General features: G+C 55.3%; 1 protein-coding gene and 1 long non-coding RNA gene across 3 annotated transcripts, besides 12 other annotated features; one reads left to right on the forward strand and one right to left on the reverse strand.

Moving 5' to 3' along the window:
* Positions 12-61: an enhancer, noted in NCBI's record as "active region_11361". NCBI's record gives its function as "activates an Ori minimal core promoter by ATAC-STARR-seq in GM12878 lymphoblastoid cells {active_cell/tissue: GM12878}" and the evidence as "EXISTENCE:reporter gene assay evidence [ECO:0000049][PMID:35858748]".
* SNAI3-AS1 (SNAI3 antisense RNA 1) lies at positions 49-23862 on the forward strand. 2 transcript variants are annotated; one of them, NR_024399.1, is made up of 4 exons: positions 49-76; positions 7953-8141; positions 8489-8798; positions 23467-23862. It is a non-coding gene; the product is annotated as an SNAI3 antisense RNA 1 (long non-coding RNA). The 2 variants fall into 2 exon arrangements; NR_024402.2 differs by lacking the exon at positions 23467-23862 and adding an exon at positions 10280-12182.
* Positions 272-431: a silencer, noted in NCBI's record as "silent region_7866". NCBI's record gives its function as "represses an Ori minimal core promoter by ATAC-STARR-seq in GM12878 lymphoblastoid cells {active_cell/tissue: GM12878}" and the evidence as "EXISTENCE:reporter gene assay evidence [ECO:0000049][PMID:35858748]".
* Positions 14209-14966: an enhancer, noted in NCBI's record as "H3K4me1 hESC enhancer chr16:88743941-88744698 (GRCh37/hg19 assembly coordinates)". NCBI's record gives its function as "activates a minimal SCP1, AML or CMV promoter by ChIP-STARR-seq in primed H9 embryonic stem cells {active_cell/tissue: H9 hESC(primed)}" and the evidence as "EXISTENCE:reporter gene assay evidence [ECO:0000049][PMID:30033119]".
* On the reverse strand, positions 14364-23183 carry SNAI3 (snail family transcriptional repressor 3). Its single transcript, NM_178310.4, has 3 exons — positions 23007-23183; positions 17770-18390; positions 14364-15305 (listed from the first exon to the last, which is right to left on the reverse strand). Exons 1-3 carry the CDS (start codon positions 23080-23082, stop codon positions 15124-15126), a joined length of 879 nt encoding a protein of 292 aa, NP_840101.1. The 5' UTR covers positions 23083-23183; the 3' UTR covers positions 14364-15123.
* Positions 14967-15722: an enhancer, noted in NCBI's record as "H3K4me1 hESC enhancer chr16:88744699-88745454 (GRCh37/hg19 assembly coordinates)". NCBI's record gives its function as "activates a minimal SCP1, AML or CMV promoter by ChIP-STARR-seq in primed H9 embryonic stem cells {active_cell/tissue: H9 hESC(primed)}" and the evidence as "EXISTENCE:reporter gene assay evidence [ECO:0000049][PMID:30033119]".
* Positions 17656-17775: an enhancer, noted in NCBI's record as "active region_11362". NCBI's record gives its function as "activates an Ori minimal core promoter by ATAC-STARR-seq in GM12878 lymphoblastoid cells {active_cell/tissue: GM12878}" and the evidence as "EXISTENCE:reporter gene assay evidence [ECO:0000049][PMID:35858748]".
* Positions 17656-18521: a biological region, named in NCBI's record as "H3K27ac-H3K4me1 hESC enhancer GRCh37_chr16:88747432-88748253".
* Positions 17700-18521: an enhancer, noted in NCBI's record as "H3K27ac-H3K4me1 hESC enhancer chr16:88747432-88748253 (GRCh37/hg19 assembly coordinates)". NCBI's record gives its function as "activates a minimal SCP1, AML or CMV promoter by ChIP-STARR-seq in naive H9 embryonic stem cells {active_cell/tissue: H9 hESC(naive)}" and the evidence as "EXISTENCE:reporter gene assay evidence [ECO:0000049][PMID:30033119]".
* Positions 18166-18345: an enhancer, noted in NCBI's record as "active region_11363". NCBI's record gives its function as "activates an Ori minimal core promoter by ATAC-STARR-seq in GM12878 lymphoblastoid cells {active_cell/tissue: GM12878}" and the evidence as "EXISTENCE:reporter gene assay evidence [ECO:0000049][PMID:35858748]".
* Positions 18536-18825: an enhancer, noted in NCBI's record as "active region_11364". NCBI's record gives its function as "activates an Ori minimal core promoter by ATAC-STARR-seq in GM12878 lymphoblastoid cells {active_cell/tissue: GM12878}" and the evidence as "EXISTENCE:reporter gene assay evidence [ECO:0000049][PMID:35858748]".
* Positions 19076-19335: an enhancer, noted in NCBI's record as "active region_11365". NCBI's record gives its function as "activates an Ori minimal core promoter by ATAC-STARR-seq in GM12878 lymphoblastoid cells {active_cell/tissue: GM12878}" and the evidence as "EXISTENCE:reporter gene assay evidence [ECO:0000049][PMID:35858748]".
* Positions 22794-22953: a silencer, noted in NCBI's record as "silent region_7867". NCBI's record gives its function as "represses an Ori minimal core promoter by ATAC-STARR-seq in GM12878 lymphoblastoid cells {active_cell/tissue: GM12878}" and the evidence as "EXISTENCE:reporter gene assay evidence [ECO:0000049][PMID:35858748]".
* Positions 23004-23463: a silencer, noted in NCBI's record as "silent region_7868". NCBI's record gives its function as "represses an Ori minimal core promoter by ATAC-STARR-seq in GM12878 lymphoblastoid cells {active_cell/tissue: GM12878}" and the evidence as "EXISTENCE:reporter gene assay evidence [ECO:0000049][PMID:35858748]".
* Positions 23863-24524: the final 662 nt, after the last annotated feature.

Consider the following 24524-nt stretch of genomic DNA (forward strand, 5'->3'; position numbering starts at 1 on the left):
GGTGTTGTCTGCGCAGGCGCCGTGTGCCCAGGCGCCTGGCGTCCGCGTCGGCGATCCGGGGTCTGGGCGCGGCGAGGTGGGCGCTGTTGCCTGTGGGGGCTACCTGTCTGCTGGTGCTGTGCGGGCTTGTGCGGGGCTGTGCGGCAGCTGTGTGGGGCCCGTGAGGAGCTGTGCGGGGGGCTGTGCGAAGGGCTGTGTGAGGCGCTGTGCTGGGGGCTGTGCGGAGACCTTGAGGCGCTGTGCGGGGTCCGTGAGGCTCTGTGTGGGGCGCCGTGTGGGAGACTCTGCGGGGGCCGTAAAGGGTCCGTGAGGCGCTGTGTGCGGGTTGTGAGGCGCTGTGCGGGGACCATGAAGGGGCCGTGGGGCGCTGTGCGGGTGCCGTGGGGCGCTGTGTGGGAGGGAGGCTGTGCGGGGCCGTGGGACGGTGTGCGGGGCTGAGGGGAGGGCGGGTCGCGCTGTGCCCTCCTTGAAGCTCTTGGACGGCCCCGCTGGGTATGGGGGTGCACACAGGCCCGAGGGCAGGCGCTGGAGGATGTATCCCGGGATCCACTCTTAACCCGGCAGCCGAAGGCACCCTGTCCCGCCGCCCACAGCCTTCTCCGCGCCATGTCCTGGGCCAGGATCCCCCGCCACGGGGCTCACACGAAAGACCCCGGGGCGGGGAAGCCCCGCAGCCCGGAGCTGGGTCCAACCTGCATTAAGGTGGGCGTCTCAAATACCCCCTGTAAGGCCCTGTAGGAGCAAAGCCTTGGACTGGGTTGCGGCGCTTGTGTGTGCATTGACTTCTCCTGTGAAACGTACAGGAACATTTAAGCGTGCCGTTCCCTGCCATTCATTCCAATCATGTGCCACGCCCCCACTATTTCTAGAGTTTTCTCACCCCAAACAGAAACTCTGTCCCCTTAAAACAATGACTTCCCATTTTCCCCTTCCCCTTTTAAAATTTTACCTTTAGTTTTTAAATAGCTCAGATTGGCTGGGCATGGTGGCTCACACCTGTAATCCCAGCACTTTGGGAGGCCGAGGTGGGCGGATCACGAGGTCAGGAGTTTGAGACCAGCCTGGCCAACATGGTGAAACCCTGTCTCTACTAAAAATACAATAATTAGGTGGGCGTGTGGTGCACGCCTGTAATCCCAGCTACTGGGGAGGCTGAGGCAGGACAATTGCTTGAACTCAGGAGGCGGAAGTTGCAGTGAGCCGAGATGGTGCTGCTGTACTCCAGCCAGGGTGACAGAGCAAGACTCCATCTCAAAAAAAAAAAAAAAAAAAAAAAAAACTCAGATTTCGGAAAATAGGGGAGTATGCAGTGTGAAGTGTCCACTCTGCCTAGCCACCTACTTCTATTACCAGAACCATCATACTTATAAATTCTTTATTTTTTTCCAGAAATAGAAAAAAAGTCTGTTTTTTTTCTCACTCTGTTGCTCAGGCTGGAGGGCAGTGGTACGATCAAAGCTCCATGCAGCCTCGACCTCCTGGCTCAAGGGATCTTCCCACCTCAGTTTCCTCAGTAGTTGGGACTACAGGTACACACCACCATGCCCGGCTAATTTTTTTCTTAATTTTTTTGTAGAGATGTGGGGGGGTCTTGCTATGTTGCCCAGGCTGATTTGAAGTCCTGGCCTCAGGGAACCCTCCCATCTCAGTCTTCCAAAGTACTGGGATTAGGTGTGAGCCACTCCACCTGGCCTGTCAATTCTTTGTGTATTTTTTCATTGACGTGCATAGTACAAGCACATAGCGTGTTCTCCCACCTTGCTTTTTCTACGTACCTTCTTCTTAGAGATCATCCCAATTTAGTAAAAAGCTTCCTTGTTTGTTGTCTAAATATACCTGGTCTGTCCTAGTTGGGTTGTTACTATAAACAGTGCTTTCCTACGTTGTTTGTGCACATGTATTTCTGCAGGAGAAATTCCTGGAAGTGGAATTGCTGGGCCAAGTGGGATGTGCCTGAGTACTTTTGATAGCTGTTGGCAAGTCGCCCTTTGTGGAAGTCAATTGATTACTCAGGTCTCTCTGCGGAAGTCTGAGAGTGCCTGCATGCCTTCACCAGCACAGTGGGTCACCTGCCAGAGTGACATGTGTTGTCTCACTGTTTTCAATTTGCATTTCAGATGGTGGTTATTTTTAATTTCTCTTGCAATCACAGCTGCTTTTCCATTTTATGCAAAGCCACTAAATCCTATTGAAGAGCTGATGTGGACTGTCTCGGCCTATAGTCAGGGTGTATTCCCTCAGCTACTCAGAGAGAGTGGGGCTTCCAGTCACCTCCTTCCTTCTGCCACGGCTGTGATGAAAAAGAAGACACAGGCTTGGTGCTTTGGGAGGCCAAGGAGGGCAGATTGTTTAAGTCCAGTAGAAAAAAAAACAATTTATTTTTGTTTAGAGACAGGGTCTCACTCTGTTGTCCAGGCTGGAGTGCGATGGCACCATCAGCTCACAGCAGCCTCAACCTCCTGGGCTCAGGTGATCCTCCCACTTCAGCCTCCCAAGTAGCTGTGATAAGTGCCACCACTCCTGACTAATTTTTATTTTTTATTTTGTAGAGATGGAGGTCTTACTGTGTTGCCCAGGCTGCTCTTTTTTTTTTTTTTAGACAGAGTCTCGCTGTGTCACCCAGGCTGGAGTGCAGGGGGGCAATCATAGCTCACTGCAACTTCTGCCTCCTGGTTTCAAGTGATTCTCATGCCTCAGCCTCCCAAGTAGCTGGGATTACAAGCGTGCACCAGCAGGCCCGGCAAATTTTTGTATTTTTAGTAGAGACGGGGTTTCGCCATGTTTGGCCAGGCTGGTCTCAGACTCCTTGCCTCAAGTGATACGCCTGCCTCGGCCTCCCAAAGCACTGGGATTACAGGCGTGAGCCACCATGCCTGGCGTTTTTATTATTATTATTTTTTTTTTTTTTTTTGAGACAGAGTCTCGGTCTGTCACCCAGGCTGGAGTGCAGTGGCGTGATCTCGGCTCACTGCAACCTCCGCCTCCCACGTTCACGCCATTCTCCTGCCTCAGCCTCCCAAGTAGCTGGGACTACAGGCGCCCACCACCACGACCGGCTACTTTTTTTTGTTATTTTTAGTAGAGACGGGGTTTCACTGTGTTAGCCAGGATGGTCTCGATCTCCTGACCTTGTGATCCGCCCGCCTCAGCCTCCCAAAGTGCTGCGATTGCAGGCGTGAGCCACTGTGCCTGGCCCTATTTTTTTAAGTTTTAGATAACCTCTATTGATTATGACTCAATAGAAATAAGGAATTCTCTTCCATCTCCCAGTCACATACCTTCTTATCCTATCCCTCCATCAGCATTCCTTATTTTCATTATTACAATTATCTAAGTTATACTCACAGTTGAGCCATGTAGCAATGGGTGCCGACAGTGTGCTTGTGGGCAGACTCCCTTATTGAGTGGAGAACTAGGATAAACTACCTCCCTGAAAGATGTCACACATCGATCCCCACCCTGACGCCTGTAGCCCAGCTCTCCTGAACCTCAGCCTGTATGTGTGTCGAAAATAGGCCAAGCATGGTGGTCCATGCCTGTAAGCCCAGCAGCACTTTGGGATTTGGGAGGACTGCTTGAGGCCTGGAGTTCAAGACCAGTCTGGGCAACATAGCGAGACTCCACCATATCCACAAAAAAAAAATTTTTTTTTTTTTTTTTTTTAAGACACAGTCTTGTTCCATTGCCCAGGCTGGAGTGCAGTGGTGCAATCTCGGCTCACTGCAACCTCCGCCTCCCAGGCTCACTGCAACGTCCGCCTCCCAGGCTCACTGCAACCTCCGCCTCCCAGGCTCAAGTGATTCTCCTGCCTCAGCCTCCCAAGTAGTTGGGACTCCAGGTGTGTACCACCACACCCAGCTAATTTTTTTGTATTTTTAGTAGAGACGGGGTTTCACCATGTTAGCCAGGATGGTCATGGTCTCGATCTCCTGACCTCGTGATCCACCCGCCTAGGCCTCCCAAAGTGCTGGGATTACAGACATGAGCCACCGCATCCAGCCTACAAAAAAATTTTTTCAAAATTAGCTGGCCGTAGTGGTGCACACCTGTACTCCCAGCTACTAGAGAGGCTAAAGCAGGATGATCGCTTGAGCCCAGGAGTTCAAAGCTTCAGTGAGCTCTGATCACACCACCGCACCTGAGCCACAGGCATGGGTGCTTTGCTGAGTATGGTATGGGTAGGCTGTGTGTGGCACTGATTCATGAGGGGAGAGGGTCTGGGAGATGAATGGGAAGCCAGACAGCTGGAGCCCGTGGGTGGGCCCTGACTGGTGTTGGGGCAAGGAGGGGAAGCCCAGCCAGGGCTGAGCATGTCCTGCCTGGTTCCAGGCCTGCAGCCCTGGGGGTTTGGCCTGGACAGGCCAGCAGAGGGGCCCCGAGCACAGCCTGCACAGCATCCTACTGCTGATCCCCGGGGCTTCCTGCGTCCTGGCGCTTCCTGTCCTTTCCCCAAGCCCAGGCATCTGGGACTTTAAAAAGTCAGAAAGCAACTGGAAAGGAAGGCATGTGTCTAGCTTGCTCTATATCTGCCTTGCATTGGGAGGCCTTCAGTGGGAATGTTTTTCTGGAAGCAGTCAGCAAATGTGAAACACCATGAAGCCAGGCGATTGGAGAGGTAAAAAGAAGCGAGGACTCAGGGAATATGGGCATTTTAAAAATAATAATTTAAATTAAAAAAAGACAAGGAAATGTTTATTCCAGAGGAGTTAACAATTTGATACTTTTTTTTAACTTTTATTTTAGGTTTGGGGGTACATGTGAAGGTTTGTTACATAAATAAACACATGTCACGGGAGTTTGTTGTAAAGATTATTTCATCACTCAGGTACTAAGCCCAGTACCCAATAGTTATCTTTTCTGCTCCTCTCCCTCCTCCTGCCCTCCCCCCATCTTTTCTGCTCCTCTCCCTCCTCTTGCCCTCCCCCCATCTTTTCTGCTCCTCTCCCTCCTCCTGCCCTCCCCCCATCTTTTCTGCTCCTCTCCCTCCTCTTGCCCTCCCCCCATCTTTTCTGCTCCTCTCCCTCCTCCTGCCCTCCCCCCATCTTTTCTGCTCCTCTCCCTCCTCCTGCCCTCCCCCCTCAAGTGGACCCCCGTGTCTGTTATTTCCTTGTGTTCATAAATTCTTATCATTTAGCTCCCACTTATAAGTGAGAAGATGCAGTATTTGATTTTCTATTCCTGCGTTAGATACTTACTTTTTATTTTTCATTTGTTTGTTTTGAGACAGGGTCTCACTCTGTTGCCCAGACTGAATGCACTGGCAAGGTCACGGCTCACTGCAGACTTGGCCTCCTATGCTCAAGCAATCCTCTTGCCTTGGCCTCCTGAAGTACTGCGATTACAGACTTAGCCACCACACCCAACCAATTTTTTAATTTTTTTGTTTTTTTGTAGAAACAGGGTCTTGCTATGTTGCCCAGGCTTGTCTTAAACTCCTGGGCTCAAGTGATCCTCCCACCTCGGCCTCCCAAAGTGCTGGGATTACAGGCATGAGCCACCACGCCTAGTCTTCTCCTCTACACAAGAGTCAGTAGAGAAACCTGGCTTCCCCACAGGACTGCTTGAGTCCAGATCTCAATCCGCTGTCTTCCTGCAGCTCCTCCCACCATATCACCCCACACACTGGCCCCACTATAAAAAGCAGCACCATATTTGCGGTCCTGATCAGATACCCTACTCTGCCTTCAAAGTCAAAGGGGCCGGTCACGGTGGCTCACGCCTGTAATCTCAGCACTTTGGGAGGCCGAGGCGGGCGGATCACTTGAGGTCAGGAGTTCAAGACCAGCCTGGCCAACATGGTGAAACCCCCCTCTCTACTAAAAAATACAAAAATCAGCTGGGTGTGGTGACATGCACCTGTAGTCCCAGCTACTTGGGAGGCTGAGGCAGGAGAATCGCTTGAACCGAGAGGTAGAGGTTGCAGTAAGCCAAGATCGCACCACCACACTCCAGCCTGGGCAAGAGAGCAAGACTCTGTCTCACAAAACAAAAAAAAAGAAGTGAAAGGAAATCTCAGAATTTCTTACCGAGTGACAATATAAATTAGAGACAAAAATGACAGACTCTGGCTGGGTGCAGTGGCTCATGCCTGTAATCCTAGCACTTTTGGAGGCCGAGACGTGTGGATCACTTGAAGTCAGGAGTTCGAGACCAGCCTGGCCAACATGGCAAAACCCCGTCTCTACTAAAAATACAAAAATTAGCCGGGTATGGTGGTGCGTGCCTGTAGTCCCAGCTACTTGGGAGACTGAGGCAGGAGAATCGCTTGAACCTGGGGGGTGGAGGTTGCAGTGAACTGAGATCGCACCACCGCACTCCAGCATGGGCAACAGAATGAGACTCCATCATAAATAAATAAATAAATAAATAAATAAATAAATAAATAAAATTACAAACTCTGGGTCTAAATTGCCCGAGTTTAAAGAACAGCTCTGCTACTGATTCACTGTGTGACTTCAGGCAAGCTACTTAACCTCTCTGTGCCCGTTTCCTCACCTGTGGGGATAAGGATGGTTTCTTGTAGATGATACAGCCCTCTGAAGGGGCCCACCCATGTTTATCTGCAGGGAGTATTATTATTGACCCACAGAGAAGCTCTTGGGTGAGTGTGGTCATCTTTCAGAAGAAACAATGTGCATTTGGTTAAATCAGTGAGTAAATACAGCTTCTTCTGTAGCTTCCAGTTTTCCAAACCAAAAGCTGCAAAGCATGCACGTGGCCGGAAACCTGGCCAGCTGGGCTGGTGGCTCAAATAGCCCTGCCGTCCTTGTGTTCGAGCCACTCACCTCGGAAAGTATTTCCCTTCAGGGACACAAGCATCCACCTCACAGTTTTCCAGCTCGCTTTCCCGCACCATGGTGCTCCTGGGTGGGAATATCTGGGGCTTGATTCATGATGCCTGGGTGGACAGAGAGGCGGGATTGCCCAAGCCTCCTGGGACTAGTGGGATTAAATTTTTTTGCCAAACAAGCAGATCCCTTTCCAGAGAAGAGAAACAAATCTGTATTTACCCTCATTAGAAATTAGTATCAGCTGGGTGCGTGCGGTGGCTCATGCCTGTAATCCCAGTACTTTGGGAGGCTGAGGCGGGCGGATCACGAGGTCAGGAGTTCGAGACCAGCCTGGCCAACATGGTGAAACCCCATCTCTACTAAAAATACAAAAATTAGCTGGGCATGGTGGTGGGTGCCTGTAGTCCTAGATACTTGGGAGGCTGAGGCAGGAGGATCGCTTAAACCCAGGAGTCGGAGGTTGCAGTGAACTGGGATCGCACCACTGCACTCCAGCCTGGGCGACAGAGCAAGACTCCGTCTCAAAAAAAAAAAAAAAATTAGTATCAGCCAGGGACAGGGGCACACATCTGTGATCCCAGCACTTGCGGAGGCCAAGGCAGGAGGATTACTTGAATTCAGGAGTTCAAGACCAGGCTGGACAATATTGCGAGACCCTGTCTCTATAAAAAGTTAGCCAGGCATGTGGCACACACCCAGCTACTCACGAGGCTGAAGCAGGAGGATTGCTTGAGCCTAGGAGGTTGAGGCTTCAGTGAGCCCTGATTGCACCACTGCACGGCAGCCCGAGCAACAGAGCCTGATCCTGTCTCAAGAAGAAGAAGAAAATAAAATTAGACTAGGGGCACGGTGTAGCTCACACCTGTAATCCTTGTATTTTGGGAGGCCGAGGCCAGCAGAATCCTTGAGCTCAGGAGTTTGAGACCAGCCTGGGCAACAAGATGAGACCCAGTATCTACGAAAAATGCAAAATATTAGCTGGGCCTGGTGGCGTGCACCTGTAGTGTCAGCTACTTGGGAGGCTGTGGGAGGATCCCTTGAGCCTGGGAGGTCAAGGATGCAGTGAGCCAAGATTGTGCCACTGCACTCCAGCCTGGGTGACAGAGAAAGACCCTGTCTCAAAAAAGCAAAAACAGAAAAGTTTGTCTAAATCTTTTTCAGGTCTGGTGTGGCAGATGTGGATAGCTGGACCCTCCTGGGTGCCTCTGCGTTATGTCGTTTGGTTGATGCATTTGGAGAGAATCTGTGCTCTCCACAACTGCAGGGGCAACATGCTTTCCTGGCCTCTTCAGATCAGGGTGGCTGTTCTTGGGTGCTGCACCAAAACTCCAGCAGTGGGCTTTCTTCAAGGTGAGCTGCAAGATGGAATCTGAGGCCCACCCGTCAGTAAGAGTTTCCTCCTGGTATCCATGGAATCTACTGGTCTGTCTCACTTTGGCCTTTGACCCAGGCAGGGGTTCCTAACATCTACATCGGTCATTCGGACAGCCTTGCTTTTGGTTCACTGCCTTACACGGGGCTTCCAGATGTTGACCTGCTTCATTTTACAGTATCAGGAAATCACTTTCCCCTCAGAAAGTAAGCATGGGAAGCTGTTAGGCTTTTAGTGGAAGGTGAAAGTTTCCAAATTTTCTTTTTCATTAGACTGTGTAAGTTTTACCATTGGCAGTAAGTTCTGTCTGTTGTTCCTCTTGAAGTGGCCGGCTCACCTCATTCCTGCCAAGACCCAGGTCCGTGTTCTCACAGTGCTGCCATCTTTCCTCCGTGTGAGCGTGGGCTGTGCGGAGAGTGGACCTCGGTGTGTGCGGGGCTGCGTGCACTGCCATCGCTCCCTCTACACGAGCCGGCGTGGACCCAGGGCTGAGCTGTGACCACGAGGGCCATCCCGACGAGCCGCCATGGACCCAGGGCTGAGCTGTGACCATGAGGGCTATCCCGACGAGCTGCCGTGGACCCAGGGCTGAGCCGTGACCATGAGGGCCATCCCGAAACTGTGATTGTTTTCTGGTATGTGGGGGATGTGCCAGAACCAGGGCTGAGCTGTGACCACGAGGGCCATCCCGGAGCTGTGATTGTTTTCTGGTGTGTGGGGAATGTGCCAGCACTCACGTGGCTATGGCTGCTTTTGCACCATGGGTGCGTGTGCCAAACAGGAGAGCAGCTCTGCCCAGCAGAAGCCACTTAGAGGGTCTCAAGGGGTCTGCAGACCACCTGTAAGAACAACTTGTTCTGAGACGAGGGAGACCCCACCATGCTGGGCAGAGCCCAGCTGGGGTGCGGTGGGGGGGCACACCCTGTCACGGCACCGCAGAAATGATGCTTGGTGGATGGGACGGCAACGGGACCAGGACCCGCTGGCTGGGCTGTGTCTCCATCTCAGCCCCTCTTTTTGCCAATGCAAAACAGTTGAGTTTCACAAGGGCCTTGTGCGGATGAGAAGTGCCCTGTGATCTCACTGCCCACCTTCTCTCGCCTCTCAGCTTCATTTCTGAAGTTTCCTGGGCCTCCCCGCTGCCTGTTCCCAGGGGAAGCAAAAAGGAGCTGGTATTTGGGGCTGGATAAGCAACACTGCAGTGATCTGCGTCTTCCTGCGGATGTATCACAGGCTCACCCTCACTCAGAGAACAAGCACAGGGGAGGGGAGGGGAGGGGAGGGAGAAGCAGGGGAGCTGCTGAAGAGAAGGGGCTGCTTTAAGATTCCCAGATTTGGCGTTGAGGTGGGGGTTTCTGGGAAGGAGCTGGGGTGGCAGTGCTGATTGACATCCTGTGGGAAGGTGGCCCTGCATTTCCTTGGGATTCCCAGAGATGGCGCATGACCCCTGGCAAGATGGGAGGCGTCTATCTACCGTTAGGCTGGGCCCTGGGTCTGAAACTCTGCCGCCTTTACCCATTCGCATGATACAGCTCTACCCAACCCCGGGGCAGGTGCTGAGCTGCTCTCAGGCATTGCCGTGGGCCGGGCCAGGGGTGGCTGTGAAGACAGACTCGCTGCAACTAGAACCTGGCGTCCAGAAATAGAGATCCTAAGAGGAGTCAAAGCTGAGAGTGTTCCTTAGGTTGGCAGTTTTATTTTGGGTGTCCTAAATGTCTTTGGTTTTTTTTTTTCTTTTCTTTTCTTTTTGTTTTTTAAGGCAGGGTCTCGCTCTGTCACTCAGGCTGGAGTGCAGTGGGGCGATCTCAGCTCACTGCAACCTCCGATTCCCAGGTTCAAGTGATCCTCCTGCCTCAGCCTCCTGAGCAGCTGGGGTTGCAGGCGCACACCACCACGCCTGGCTAATTTTTGTATTTGTAGTAGAAACAGGGTTTCACCATGTTGGCCAGGCTGGTCTCGAACTCCTGGCCTCAGATGATCTATCCACCTCAACCTCCCAAAATGCTGGGATTACAGGCGTGAGCCACTGCGCCCGGCCAGCCTTTGGTTTTTCTATGGCTTACTTGGAGTTCTCTTTAATTCTGACATAGAAGTTCGCACAATCCCTCTTTTACAGATGAAGAAACCAAGGCTTTGTGACTAACTCAACCCCTCAAGAAGGACAAAACTAGCATCAGAGCCCCTTGCTCCTGGGTCTGGCAAGAATGCCTCTTGTTTGCTGAGAGGTCCACAGATTTACCCGGCTCAAGACTGGGAGATGGGAGGTGACCAGGTCAGTGCCAGCCTCTCTCTGAGCTCCTCTGAGTCGTGGCAGCTGAGGTGCTCCTCCGAGAATGTTCTGCCATCCGTGAGGTCGTGTACGCCTGGAAGCTTTTGTTCCATTGAACTCTGCCAGGGAGCTATACTTAGCCACGCGAGTGGAGGCCAGGAGTGGGTTCTCTGAATATAGATAGTAGCAAGCAGGCTATTTTCAAACACCTAGAGAACCCCCATGATTATTCTGGGCCAAAATGATATTTATAGGATGCTCTGGGCCCTTGGACATGAAGGCAATAACCTTAGCGCCTTTTGGCGTTCGGGATAAGTTTCTATCAACGGGGAGTGGAGAGAGGGACCCGGTCACCCAGAGGCCCGCTGTCCCTCAACACCTGTTTCCAGGAGGCCAGGCGTCTTCTTTGCTTTTACACTATGAGTCAGAGAACAGCGAGAGGCACGCAGGGCCCTACTAATTTTCCTTCCTGCACACCCTGGTGTGGGTCCTGTCTGAGGCCTGCCGTGTGCTATTAGGGAAGACGTCATCAGGGGACTTTTTCTGCTGTGAGGAGGGTGCAGCCCCTGCCTTTCAGAGCTCAGGACACCCTCTTCCTCTTGTCCAGGATCCTCAGGGATTTCCTAGGCTTCCACCCTCACCCAGACATCACTGGACCGTCACTGAAACACCCGCTTCCAGTGTGCTCAGGTCCTGCAGCCTCCTGTCCATCCTTGCCCCGCCTCCCGCCCGGAGGAAAGACTCTGACACTGCCCCTGGAAGAGGGAGGAGAGTGGATGTGATGAGTGAAGATTTGGGTGGGGAAAGGAAGGCCTGAGTCCTGGGAGGAAGAGCTCTCCCCGCCCCGAGCCCCCGGAGACTGTGAGCAAGGCTGAGACGCCTCCTTCCTGGTGCTCAAGCTGCAGGTGTTGGATAGGCCTCCAGAAGCCCAGATTTTAAATGACCGCTCCAGGTTAACCTGGGGATGGTCAGGCAGAACAAGGAGGAGAGGCCAGCAGTGAAGGGCAGGGCTGGTGGGCAGTGGCTGGGGGTGTCCTGGGTGGGGCTGGCCACCCTCGCTGCCTCTGACTTGGGCCAGACCTGCGTTAAGTGGAGTGGCTCCTCCATTCTTTACACCCCAGGCCCCTGGCAGGTGCCCTGCCTTTCCTCTGCCCCTCTCTCTGCCAACCCATCCTCTCCCTCCCAGCCCCTGCCCGCCCAGATATAAATATAAGAGCATTTTCCATGGGCTGAGACAGAAGGGAAAACATTCAGCTTTATTTTCGGCTTGTGAAATTCCTGTCCTTCATTCCCAACAGGTGCAATCGCCTCATTTAGATATTGGGACCCAGAAATAGAAGACAATTTACAATATAGCTTCCTTTAGGGATCTGGATGCTACCAAACAAACAAACAAACAAAAAAAGCCCTCCTGTGAGATGCCGAGACTTAATAGAAACCGTGGTTGGAGCTCTTGCCTTTTTCCAGGCCGGTGGAGACCCTCACCCCTGGCAGCCTGACCGTGAAGCAGAGGAGGCAAGAGCTCCGGGAGACAGTCGGGAGGGAGGGGGCCCTGGAGGACAGGCTCCTAGCCCTACTCCTCCTCAAGACCCGGGTGCTGGCCTGTCCCCTGCCTTTGCCCCGATGGGGATGAGGGAGAGGAGATGGGTCAGGGAACAGCTATGGCCATTGGGGAAGGTGACTTGGATGCAACCTTTGAAAGAGATGCTTCCAGTAAACCCCATCGGTTAAGATCAGCTGTCCCCCATGATCCTTTGTGTGTGTTTTTTTGTTTTCACACAGGGTCTCGGTCTGTCGCCCAGGCTGAGTGCAGTGGTGTGATCTTGGCTCACTGCAACCTCCACCTCCTGGGCACAAGCAATCCTCCTGCCTCAGCCTCCTGGATAGCTCAGACTACAGGGGTGTGCCACCATACCCAGCTCATTCTTTTGTATTTTTAGTAGAGACAGAGTTTTGCCATGTTGCCCAGGCTGGTCTCAAACTCCTGGGCTCAAGTGATCCACCCGCCTTGGCCTCCCACAGGGCTGGGATTACAGGAGTGAACTCCCATGCCTGGCCCTCATGATCCTTTGTAGACTGAGGGACAAAAGAAGAGGGTGAGGCCTCCCCTCTCCTCAGCGCTGAGTGCAAGGACCCTCAAGGCAACTCTTGGCAAAGCCCCATGTTTCCACTGGCTGTTTAGGTGGAATTGCGTCCCCCCGCTTCCGTATGTTGAAGTCCTAATTTTCGGGCCCTCCGCTTGTGACCATATTTGGAAGTAGAGGCTTTGCAGATGTCATGAGTTAAGATGGGGGCCTCCTGGAGCAGGGCAACATGACTGTATCCTCATAAGAAGAGGAGAGACAGAAACAGACACACACAGGGAGATGCCACGGGACTCCCAAAGCCACAAGAAAGCCTGGAACAGCCCCGCCCTCACAGCCTCTGAAGGAACCAGCCCTGCCTTCACCTGGATCTGGGACTTCCAGCCTCCAGGACTGGGGGAGAATGAAACTCTGTTGTTTCGGCCACTCAGGCTGGGGTGCTTTGTTATGGCAGCTGAGTGGGTGCCTCCCTCTCTGGGGACGGCCAATCCCTGTAGGGGAGGCAGTGGTCCCGGTCCAGGAAGGTGAGAGAGGCTTTCTCAGTGTCTTCACTTCGCCAGCTCACGTGGAGACTGGTAGCGGCTGGAGCCCAAGCTCTTCTGGGGAGCCGGTTTACTCAAGGTCACCCTTGATCCAGCGGAGCCCAAGGTCTAGGTCAAGCTTCCTCTGGGATGTCCCCAAGGCTCTTCAAACAGGTGTCGTCAAGCCATCTGCCCAAGGGCCCGTCAGCACCTGGCAGGTGTTAGCCAGGCTGATCTGCAGGCGGGGCTGCCCCGAGTGGGGCTCCCACTGCCCGGGTTGGGACTGGAGCAGCCAAGTGGCTGAGCAACAAGGTGCTTCATGTGTGGTCCCTGTGAGCCCCCCTGAATAGTCTCATGGACAGACGGATGGACGGGAGGCTCAGTGGGCTCTGGGAGCAAGGGGAGCGCTTGCCGCTCTCCACGTGGCTCCATTCCAGGACCAGGACAATGATGTCTTCCTGTCTGCAGCCAGAAGCAGGGCAGCTGACAGCGGCCCAGCCCTCCTGAGGGACAGGTGTCCGCTCCCAGAAACCTCCCTTCCACCATCCCCATCAGCGAAGGTGTCAGGGACTAGGAGGGGCCTCCTTGCTCCTTCCTGGACGCTGCCCCTGGGGTTGAGCTGGAGAGGCTGAGACATGCTGGGAAGAGGAGGACCAGCCCAGTGGGCGGCCGCCCAACAGCTCGGCGGTGAGAAGAGGCCACGTGTAAGAAGGAAACGCCACCACCCCACTGGATGGTGGGAGCAGGACTCCAGGGAGGGGGGTCTTGAGTGTAGGCAACCATGTCGATTTGGCACAGTGTCTCAACAGGGCAGGGCAAGGGTCTGGGATTCCAGTTCACGGATGCCCCAGGTACCATGGGTGGACAGAGGCCCAGACCCTCTGCAAGACAGCAGTGATCATGTCAGACCCTCGCAGCGCTTGAGGGCTGCAGCAGGAGCCCTGAGTCCTCTGTTCTGACCAGGCAGCAGGGAGGACTCGCTGCCCCCAGCTGCACAACGCCTGCCCCGGCCTTGGTCTTGGCCCTCTACCCGGCACCAGCTGGAGCCTCTTGGCCATTCCTCTGTGCCATGGGACACTCTCCCACTCCTGCGCTGGCTTCTGCCCACAGTGGCGCCCCTGCTCACCCACTGGCAGTGTCCCCACCTCTCAGAAGAGTTTTTCACAGTGGCAGGCCCTGACCCAGAGTCTCCTGCCTACTTGGTGGCTAAAGGCCCCAGGCGATCCCCAAATCCTGCTGTCTCAGGGAGTTTCTCAGAGTCCCACCTCCTCCACAGAACCAGGGGATTGGCCAAGACTCAAAGCTTCGAAGAACGGAACATGCAGGTGTGCAGAGACCATTTATTACCCCACGGCTGTTATTGCCTGGGAAGCTGAGTGCCCTGAGACCCCAGCCCCCTGAGGCTCTGACCGGGACAAATCCCACAGGCACTCCGCCTCATCCCAACACACCCAAATCACCAATCGTGGGCTCTCCCAGTCCTGCCCCATCTCCCGGAGAGTCTAGTGAGGTGGGGAGGGCACGTGTGTGTACATGTTTGAGTGTGTGTGCACATGCACATAGACGTGTGACATGGGGCAGCTCGTCCCAGACCCCAAACCAAAGGCTGGCGGGGGCTGGCTGAGAGGTAGTTGTGCCTACTGAGGAAGGGCCACAGGGCGGTGCTCACTATAAGTCAGAACTGTTCATTTCTGCTGCAATGGAACTAGGCAGCCTTGCCAGCCATCCGGCGGCAGTGCCGGCCCATGCTGGCGGCCACCTCCCCGAGGCTCTGACTCTTGGAAGGGTAGCCCCGGAGACCTGGCCGTGTCGAAATGGAACCATGGCTCTTGTTCTGATGAAAGCCTTCCCCGGGAGAGGAGTCTCCTCTGAGTGGGCTCCGCGCGGTGGGATGCCTGGGGGAGTGTCCTCCGGCCCAGTGGCCCCCGCTGGACTTCTTTGGTTCTGATTGGACGCAGATGTGGAGGACGCACCAAGTGTGAGGCCAGGCCCCGCCCTCCCAGACTCCTGGCTCCTCTGGGGGCAGGAGGGACGCCAGCTCTCCCGGTGAGGACCATCCCTCCTACCTGCGCCGACCACGTGCCTCTCAGGGGCCCGGGCAGCAGCCAGACTCCTCATGCCGCGCCAGGAGGGACATGCGGGAGAAGGTCTTGGTGCAGCGCCGGCACCGGTACTTCTTGGCGTCTGAGTGCGTTTGCAGATGGGCCCGAAGGTTGGAGCGGTCGGCAAAGGCCCTGCTGCAGTGCGAGCAGGCATAGGGCTTCTCCCCTGTGGGAGGAAGGCGGCGGCCAGTGACACCATGGAAGATGGAGTGAAGGCTAAAGCACCCACCCTGCCCATCAATGGATACTCCCATCCCTTCCCCACAAATGCTCACAGCCAGAGCACCCAAGGTTGAGCTGTGTGGGGACGGGGTGGCACGCCACATCACCTGAAGCCCCTCCCAGGAGCACAGGCAGCCACAGGTGCTAGATCTCCTAGTGTTGCTGCAGTAGCCCTCCCGGGGCCCTTGGCCACTGGGAGAGGACGGGAGAAGCACTGGGGGCCTCTGGCAGCTGTTTCTGGCCACTCACAGGCAAGTGGGGGGGTCTGGCCAGCTCCAGCAGAATCCAGGGCAGGGGCAGAGCTGTGGACCTTGAGGAGGCAGAATTTAGGAACCACCTCCCATCAGGACAACAGGGGATCTGGACAAAGTCCTGCTGGGACCTTGGCCCAACACCTGTAAAGGGAAGTGTGACTGGGAATCGTTTGTTCATTCCTGTAGCCCCATAGAGTCCTGAGAGACCTCAGCCTGCAGCCCCTGAGGGGCCCAGAGCACCTGCATTCCTGCTGGTGGGACACTGGGCATGCTCCTGGCCAGGCCAGCCTCCCGCAGGGCCTCCCCACACTCCTCACTCCCAGGCTGAGGGCACCAAGCCCCAGGGCCCTTTGGCACGGAAAGGGGGTGTGTGGGGGGTGTCGTCATCAAAGAGTTGAGAAAAACCAGAAAGGATTTCCCAGAGACCTGGAAAAGGCCTTCCCTCTGGCCTGCACCCAGGTGTGACTCAGAGGGTCCCAGTCACAAAAGTCATGACTTAGGGGGTAGGGAACCTCCAGTTAGAAAAAGTATGAACTAGCAGGCCGGGCGCAGTGGCTCACACCTGTAATCCCAGCACTTTGGGAGGCCGAGGCGGGTGGATCACGAGGTCAGGAGATCGAGACCATCCTGGCTAACATGGTGAAAACCCCATCTCTACTAAAAACACAAAAAATCAGCTGGGCGTGGTGGCAGGTGTCTGTAGTCCCGGCTACTCGGGAGGCTGAGGCAGGAGAATGGCATGAACCCAGGAGGCGGGGCTTGCAGTGAGCTGACATAGAGCCACTATGGTCCGGCCTGGGCAAAAGAGTGAGACTCTGTCTCAAAAAAAAAAAAAAAAAAAAAGAAAAAGTGTGAACTAGCTGGGCACAGTGGCTCATGCCTGTAATCCCAGCACTTTGGGAGGCCAAGGTGAGAAAATGGATTGAGCCCAGAAGTTCAAGACCAGCCTGGGCAACATAGCGAGACCCCCGTTTCTACAAATAATTTAAAAATTGGCTGGGCATGGTGATGCATGTCTGTGGACCCAGCTACTCAGGAGGCTGAGGCAGGAGAATCACTTGAACCCAGGCAGTCAAAGCTGCAGTGAGCTGCAATCAAACCACTGCACTCCAGCCTGAGCAATAGAGTGAGACCCTGCCTCAGACCAAAAAAAAAAAAAAAAAAGTGTGAACCTTTGGGCCTGATGTGGAGACTGAAGCTTATTCCTGGCGCCCTTTCTTCCTTTCTGTTTTTATTCTTTGCACGCTGAGGTTGACAGAAAGCCCGGGCAGAGGCTGCTGGCCGGCTCTTGGGAAGGGCAGGCCACTTTTGTACTTTAATGGCATTATGTTTTTGATTTTTTTTTTTTTTTTTTTTTTTTTTTTTGAGACAGAGTCTCGCTCTGTCACCAGGCTGGAGGGCAGTGGCGCAATCTTGGCTCACCGCAACCTCCACCTCCTGGGTTCAAATGATTCTCCTGCCTCAGTCTCCTGAATAGCTGGGATTACAGGTGTGCACTGCCACGTCCGGCTAATTTTTGTATTTTTAGCAGAGACAGAGTTTCATATGTTGGCCAGGCTGGTCTCAAACTCATGACCTCAGGTGATCCACCCACCTCTGCCTCCTAAAATGCTGGGATTATAGGCGTGAGCCTCCATGCCTGGTGGGTTTTTTTGTTTTGTTTTGTTTTTTTGTTTTGAGTTGGGGTCTCACTCTGTTGCTCAGGCTGGAGTGCAGTGGCATGACCACAGCTCACTGCAGCCTCAACCTCCTGGGCTCAAGTGATCCTCCTGCCTCAGCCTCCTAAGTAGCTGGGCCTACCAGCACGTGCCACCACACTCAGCTGTTTGGATTTTTAGTAGAGACTGGGGTCTTGCTTGTTGGCCAGGCTGGTCCTGAACCCCTGGCTTGAAGTGATCCTCCCACCTCAATCTCCCAAAGTGCTGGGATTACAGGCGTGGCTCCTGCACTGGCCCCTGCTGACACCTGGATTTTGGACTTCTGGCCTCTAGTCTGTGGTCTGTGGGACTTTGTACAGATAAGTCAAAAGGCAGAAGCTGAATGTGAATGCCCATGCTATTGTTTATAAAATCACCCCTCCTCCTTTTCTAACTCCCGCAGCCCACCCTCTTCCCCCAGCCCAGACCGTCCTTGCAGACCTTCACCCTGTCCTACCTGTGTGGGTGCGGACATGGCCCTGCAGTAACCAGGGCCTGGAGAAGGCCTTGCCACAGATCTTGCAGGTGCAGGGCAGCGTGTGAGTGCGGATGTGCATCTTGAGGGCACCCAGGCTGGTGTACTCCTTGTCGCAGTACTTGCAGGTGAAGACACGCCCCACCTGCAGGTGGCAGTGCAGCTGCCGGTGCCTGGCCAGCCCGGCCAGCGTGTGGTAGGGTTTGTGGCAGTGGAAGCACTCAAAGCCGCCCGGGGCTCGGGGCATCCGCTCAGCCCCAAGCAGTTTTTCCGGAGCCCCGTGCCGGTCTGGGCCCAAGGTCGGGGACCACCGTGTGGGCAGCACCAGCAGTGGGGGCAGGTTGAGGTGGTTCAGGCTGTCTTTGAGGGGTACAATGGCGGCCCGGCTGGCCCGAGGGTCGACCTCGCTGACTTCCAAGGCGTCCAGCCCAGAGGCCCCCAGAGCTTCCTCGATCCGTGGCAGGAGGGGCAGGGAGATGCAGGCGACGGCCGAGGAGCGGTCCCAGGGCTGGGGAAGGTCACCGGGCACAGAAGGGGCCTCCTTGTCTCGGGGGAGGAGGGGCACCACCAGCCCCCCACAGGCAGAGCAGGCACCATTGATTTCTAGAGGGGTGGAGGGGAGAGAATAGAAAGATGAAGACTGAATCCCCAGCACTTTGTGTTTTCCAACTCTGATTCGTGGACCCAGTCACAGCCCATCAGCAGCCTGGCGTGGGAGGTGTAGCCGGGAACCTGCATGCAGACCCAGCTTGCAAGGGAGCTGGCGGTGCTGTGCAGGGAAGTGACAGCGTGGCCAGGAGTGGAGTCATCTAGAACAAGAAGGCCCCGCGGTCTAGAGAGCGAATCTCACTTCCTCTTTAAACACAAAGAAACATCTGACGGGACCCTTTGTGTTCAGGAACATGAAACAGGCCTCGTGGGTAAAGGAGGGCCCTTTACGCCTCGGCTGGGCAGGACCCTCTGATGAGCCCCACCCACCTCTGGAGGGGTCCCAGCCTGGGCCGGCATCCTCCAGGTGCCCATGCAGCAGCCATCAGTCAGACGCTTGGCAGCAAGGTGCCGGCTGAGTGTAAAATCAGCCCACTCATAACTAATCACCCTCCAGTCACCCCACAGTCGCCCCTCGGGCATCTCCTTTTGTGGATAACGAGGCAGTGAGCTCAGAAGCCTCCCTGGCCGCTGACCAGTGCCCACTCTACTGTGCTCTGAATGCAGCTGAGCCACATGGCTGGGGTGCTCTGGCCTGGGCTTTCAGAATTACCCCGGCTGGGCTCCTCCCCAGGACGGTGTTTCCTCTATCTGGGGGCTGGCACACTGCACACCACATGGGTGATCCATGTAAGGGCAGCAGCCCCCAGATAAACAGGTTAGTCTGCAGGTAAGAGTTAAACTCTGTATGTCCCCAAAGCCAAAATCTCCCAACAGCCCTCAATCCCTTTCTTACTCTATATGTGTTAAAATGGATCTCTGGCTCTGTTTCTACCTCCATGCTGAGGCTTTGGGTAGAGACAGACAACCCATAGAATAGGAGAAAATATTTGCAAATCAGACTTCTGATCAGGAATAGCATCTAGAACACTAGAACATATAAAGGATGTTAGCAAGTCGACAATAAAAAGACAAATAATACAATTTTAATATGGGCAAGGGATTTTTTTTTTTTTTTTTTTTTTTTTTTTTTAGAGACGGAGTCTCGCTCTGTTGCCAGGCTGGAGTGCAGTGGCGTGATCTCGGTTCACTGTAACCTCCACCTCCTGGGTTCAAGCGATTCTCCTGCCTCAGCCTCCTGCGTAGCTGGGAGTACAGGCGCCTGCCACCACGCCCGGCTAATTTTTTTGTATTTTTTTTGTAGAGACAGGATTTCACTGTGTTAGCCAGAATGGTCTCGATCTCCTGACCTCGTGATCCACCCTCCTTGGCCTCCCAAAGTGCTGGGATCACAGGCGTGAGCCACCGCACCTGGCCCCCCACCCTTTTTTTTTTTTTTTTTTTGAGACAGAGTCTTGCTCTGTCTCCCAGGCTGGAGTGCAGTGGCGTGAAATCGGCTCACTGCAACCTGCAACCTCCACCTCCCAGGTCCAAATGATTTTCCTGCCTCAGACTCCCAAGTAGCTGGGACTACAGGTGTGCGCCACCATGCCTGGCTAATTTTTTTTTTCCCCCAGATGGAGTCTCGCTCTGTCACCCAGGCTGGAGTGCGATGGCACGATCTGGGCTCATTGCAACCTCTGCCTCCCTGGTTCAAGCAATTCTCCTGCCTCAGCCTCCCAAGTAGCTGGGATTACAGGCATGCGCCACCACGCCTGGCTTATTTTTGTATTCTTAGTAGAGACAGGGTTTTACCATGTTGGCCAGGCTGGTCTCGAACTCTTGACCTTGTGATCCGCCTGCATCAGCCTCCCAAAGTACTGGGATTACAGGCATAAGCCACTGCGCCTGGCCTTTTTTTTTTTTTTTTTTTTTGAGCTGGAGTCTCACTCTTGTCGCCCAGGCTGGAGTGCAATGGCGTGATCTCAGCTCACTGCAACCTCCGCCTCCCAGGTTCAAACAATTCTCCTGCCTCAGCCTCCTGATAGCTGGGATTACAGACACCTGCCACCATGCCCAGCTAATTTTTGTATGTTTAGTAGACGCGGGTTTTTGCCACATTGGCCAGACTCGTCTCAAACTCCTGGCCTCAAGGGATCTGCCCACCTCAGCCTCCCAAAGTGCTGGATTACAAGTGTGAGCCACTGCGCCCGGCCTGGGCAAGGGATCTGAATAACTATTTCTCCAAAGACGATACACAAATGGCCAATGAACACATGCAAAGATGCTCAATGCCATCAGGGAAGCCCAAATCGCAATCACAATGAGATGCTCACACCCAGTAGAACTGAAAAAAATTGACAATAACCAGTGCTGTGAGGATGAGGAGGAATAGGGGATTCAAAGGAACGCCTCCCATCTGCCACTCTCTCCTGACCTGACCTCCTCCCACCCTCAGTTTTCCTAATTACAGAGTCATCAGGTTTCTGTCCACCCAGAAGTGACGGCAATGACAGGCTAAGAGGCAGCGTCCAAGAGAGTTCTGGGGAGACAGCACTGGGGGAGCCCCAGGTTTCCCGGCTTTGCTGGGGCCTCTCTGCAGGAAAAAGTCACCATTTCTTTTTTCCATCTCTAAGACATGGCCACCTTTCTGCCTCCAGGTATTGTCACAGAGCCAGGACCCTGTTTGTGGGCCCAGTGGCTGAGCCCAGAGGCAGGACGGGGCAAGAGACAGTCTCGCCCCGTCAGGCTGACCATGTGTTTCTGCTGGGATTTTAAATGCTTTCCCCATACTCTCTGGGTTTTGCTTGCCTTTTTATTCATGCTGCGGTCCAGATCCTGGGGAGAAGACACTGTTTTGTTTTGTTTTGTTTTGAGACAGAGTCTCGCTCTGTCGCCCAGGTTGGAGTGCAGGGGCGCGATCGTGGCTCACTGCAACCTCCATCTCCCGGGTTCAAGTGATTCTCCTACCTCAGCCTCCTGAGTATCTGGGATTATAGGCACCCGCCAGCACACCGGGGTAACTTCTGTATTTTTAGTAGGGACGGGGTTTCGCCATGTTGGCTGGTTTCGAACTCCTGACCTCAAGTGATCTGCCGTCCTCGACCTCCCAAAGTGCTGAGATTACAGGCATGAGCCGCCACACCCAGCTGAAGAGACTGTTTAAGTACCTTGCTGGCTTCAGGGGTTCCCTGGGGAGCCATAGGAGCCATTTATTTAAAAGGAGAGATTGAGGGGCCCCAAATCCCAGCACCTCAGGTCTATCCTGGGGTAACATCTTGGCAGAAAGTTGCCAGGGCCCCCTGGCTGTCAGAAAGCCAGGCAGCTGGGGCTACAGTGAGGAGGGGAGCGGGGGCGGGGAGCAGAGAGCACTGCGGGGCAGCACGGCTACTCACGACAGTTGCCCACTGGGCCCAGCACAGCTACCCAGATTTGCACACTGGGATGGACCCTAAGCAACACTTTGAAACTTGCAACTATTACCCATGTAAATTCCGCACACATGTGTAGTCACATGCGCATCCACATACACATAACAGAAGCCAGTGTCCTTCACCATGAGCCAGGCACTCCGGCAGTTTCTGCTCTATTTTATTTTACAAAATTGCTGGGGGTGACTGATGAAACTGATTTCAAAATGCACATTTGAAAAGCATGGTCCTAGCTGGCACCCCCTGGTGGCAGCCCGGGCCTCGGGTGTGGGTCCAGGTGGGATCCCCCCCATCCCCAACTCTGGGTTCTGAGCTGGGATAAAGGCCTCTTGGCGGTGTTGCTGGGGGCCACAGCCCCAACAGCGCCCTTCCTGCTCTCCCCCACCGGCCACAGAGCGTGAGTCCCGACCACCGCGTCCGCCGGCGCCCCTCAGTGGGCCTTTGTCCCAAGAAGCTGCCAAGCCAGGTGGGGACTGCTCTCACCGCCCGTGTGGCAGGCTGTCCTCTGAAGGACAGAGTCCTCTTCTCTCGTGTCCCTAAGCCTAGCAGGCAGTGGGAATGAACGGGCAGCCCGGTTGCTGGGCACCCATCTCCCCAGCCTAGCCGGTGTGTGGAGGATTGCAGCCCTTTAGCCCAGCCTGCCCAGGCAAGCCTGCCGGGGTGAGCAGGAGGGCTTCTGGGGTGAAGGGAGGTGGGGGAGGGAGGGAGACCACGGGCGGAGGCTCACCTGAACTGAATGCAGGAGGGGCAGTGCCTTTGCACCAGAAAGAGCCCATGTGTCCTTCTCACCATCCCCTGTGCTTACACCCCCAGTCAGCATGCTCCGGGGGTCCCTGAGCCGGGCCGCCCCAGACGGCCCTCCTTCCCTCCCACCCACCACCCCGCGACCCCTCCCAAACGTGTGCGCCAGGAAGATGACTCCAGGGTGCCTTTAGCTGGGGCTGTAGTGGTTGGGACGGGCGGCTGTATATCAGGGGTGAGTTCCAGGGAGACTTGGGGGCTTAGAAAACTTAGAAAACTTCTCCAAGTTGGGAGAGAATCCCGCCCGCCCTGCCGGAGGCGGGGCTCAGTGCCCTGAAGTGGAGGCGCCCGTGGGCCACCTCCCTCCCTGCAGCCGCAGCCGCTGCGCAGAGGCGCTGGCTCCTTCTCCTCCCACCTGGGACAGGTGTCTCCCCAGCCCCCGCTCCCAGGGGCCTCTCTCTCTCTCCCGCCCCTCAGGGTCGAGTCCCGGCAGGGGCTCGGGGATCGGGTAGTCAGTACCTCTCTGCGTCTCCAGCCGCCGGTAGTTGGGGACCCTGTGGCTGGAGTGCGTTTTCACCAGGAAGGAGCGCGGCATGTTCCCCTCCCGGGCGGCAGGCCGGGGTGGGCTGGGGCGGGAGGGGCGCGCCTGGGTCCGGACTGCTGCGTCCGCCGGCGCTTGAAGGGGTCAGGCTCATTAGCATAGCGCGCCGCCTCCGCCAACCAGCGCCCGGCGCGAGTGGGGCGGGGCCACGGGGGCGGAACTGAGGGCGAGGCGGGGTCTCGGGCAACACGCCCAGGACAGGTGCGCGGGCGGGACGGGGCGGGGAGCGCGTGGCCGCCGGTGTCCTCCCCACGGGAATTCTCTGGCGTGCGCGCCGCCGAGTCACACACCGACCCGTCGGGCCTGGCCACCCACTCGCCGTGAGTGAAGGGCAGAGTTCAAAGCTGTGTGGAAACCGAGCGAGAATCTCTTCCACAGAATGTGGAAGCGTCGGCCGAGCGCGGTCCTTGGAGAACCCTTGCTGCGGAGAATGACGCTCACTCTGCGGCCTGGCCTCGCCTCCCCATCCCTTCTGCAAACTCACAGGACAGGATTGATGGGGAGAGCCCAGGCGAAACGAAGCTGACCCTAGTGACCAGCCCTACTGGCGGCTCTGGAACAGGCCCGGGACCGGTGGCCTGGAGACAGTGGTCCTTTCTGGATGGGCTGCAGTCTCCGAAGGCTTCCCCCACTGGAGTCAGCCCTTTAGGAGTTTGTCCAGTGCCTCCAGAAAGCTGTTTTTTGGGGGACGGAGGACTTGGCCTGGAATTCTGGAATTCCCAGGGGGTCAGACATGGTTATGGGAAGTTTAATAAAACCGGTGAATCACGTGAATTCTGCAACAGCTGCACGTGTGACCTGGGCAATCCGTTTCCCTCCTTTGTGGTCCTGTAGAGCCCTCAGGGTCATAAAAAGCTGGGAGCCGCTGTGTCCAGTGTCTGGGTCTCTTTTGACATGGACATTTCATAACGTTGGGGGCCAGGTGGGGCCGTCTCTGGGCTGGCGTGCACACAGGGTGTCCCTGGCTGTGCCGCCGGCCTGCCTCCCCAGCAGGGCTTCCACCTCAGAGCTGGGTGGCCTTTGCCCCCTGTGGGCCGGGGGTGGAGAAGGTGGGGGGTGGTGAGTCCATGGAAGCTCTGAGGGACAGACAGCAGGGAGGAGGGCCGTGCCACACCAGCATCCCACGTCCCACATCACACGTCCAGGGTGTGAAAAGCTGGGCTAGTATCAGCCCCACTTTGCCAATGAAAAAAAACTAGGCTGTGAGTCTGGGCTCAGCAGCTCACGCCTGTAATCCCAGCACTGTGGGAGGCTGAGACAAGAGGACTGCTTGAGCCCAGGAGTTTGAGACCAGCCTGAAAAACAACATGAGACCCCGTCTCTACAAAAAAAAAAAAAAAAATTATTTTAATTAGCCAGGCGTGGCAACACCCATCTTCAGTCCCAGCTACTCAGGACGCTGAGGAGGGAGGATTGCTTGTTGCAGTAGCCTCCAG

The sequence above is a fragment of the Homo sapiens genome, chromosome 16, assembly GCF_000001405.40.
Source record: "Homo sapiens chromosome 16, GRCh38.p14 Primary Assembly".
Classification (NCBI taxonomy): Eukaryota; Metazoa; Chordata; class Mammalia; order Primates; family Hominidae; genus Homo; species Homo sapiens.

Excerpts from the sequence above, each read along its gene's own strand:
- SNAI3 (NM_178310.4), bottom strand. The coding sequence starts at position 23,082 with ATGCCGCGCTCCTTCCTGGTGAAAACGCACTCCAGCCACAGGGTCCCC. Across the intron at positions 18,391-23,006 it reads GCGGCTGGAGACGCAGAGAG|AAATCAATGGTGCCTGCTCT; the intron begins GTACTGACTACC and ends CCACCCCTCTAG. Across the intron at positions 15,306-17,769 it reads CCATGTCCGCACCCACACAG|GGGAGAAGCCCTATGCCTGC; the intron begins GTAGGACAGGGT and ends TTCCTCCCACAG.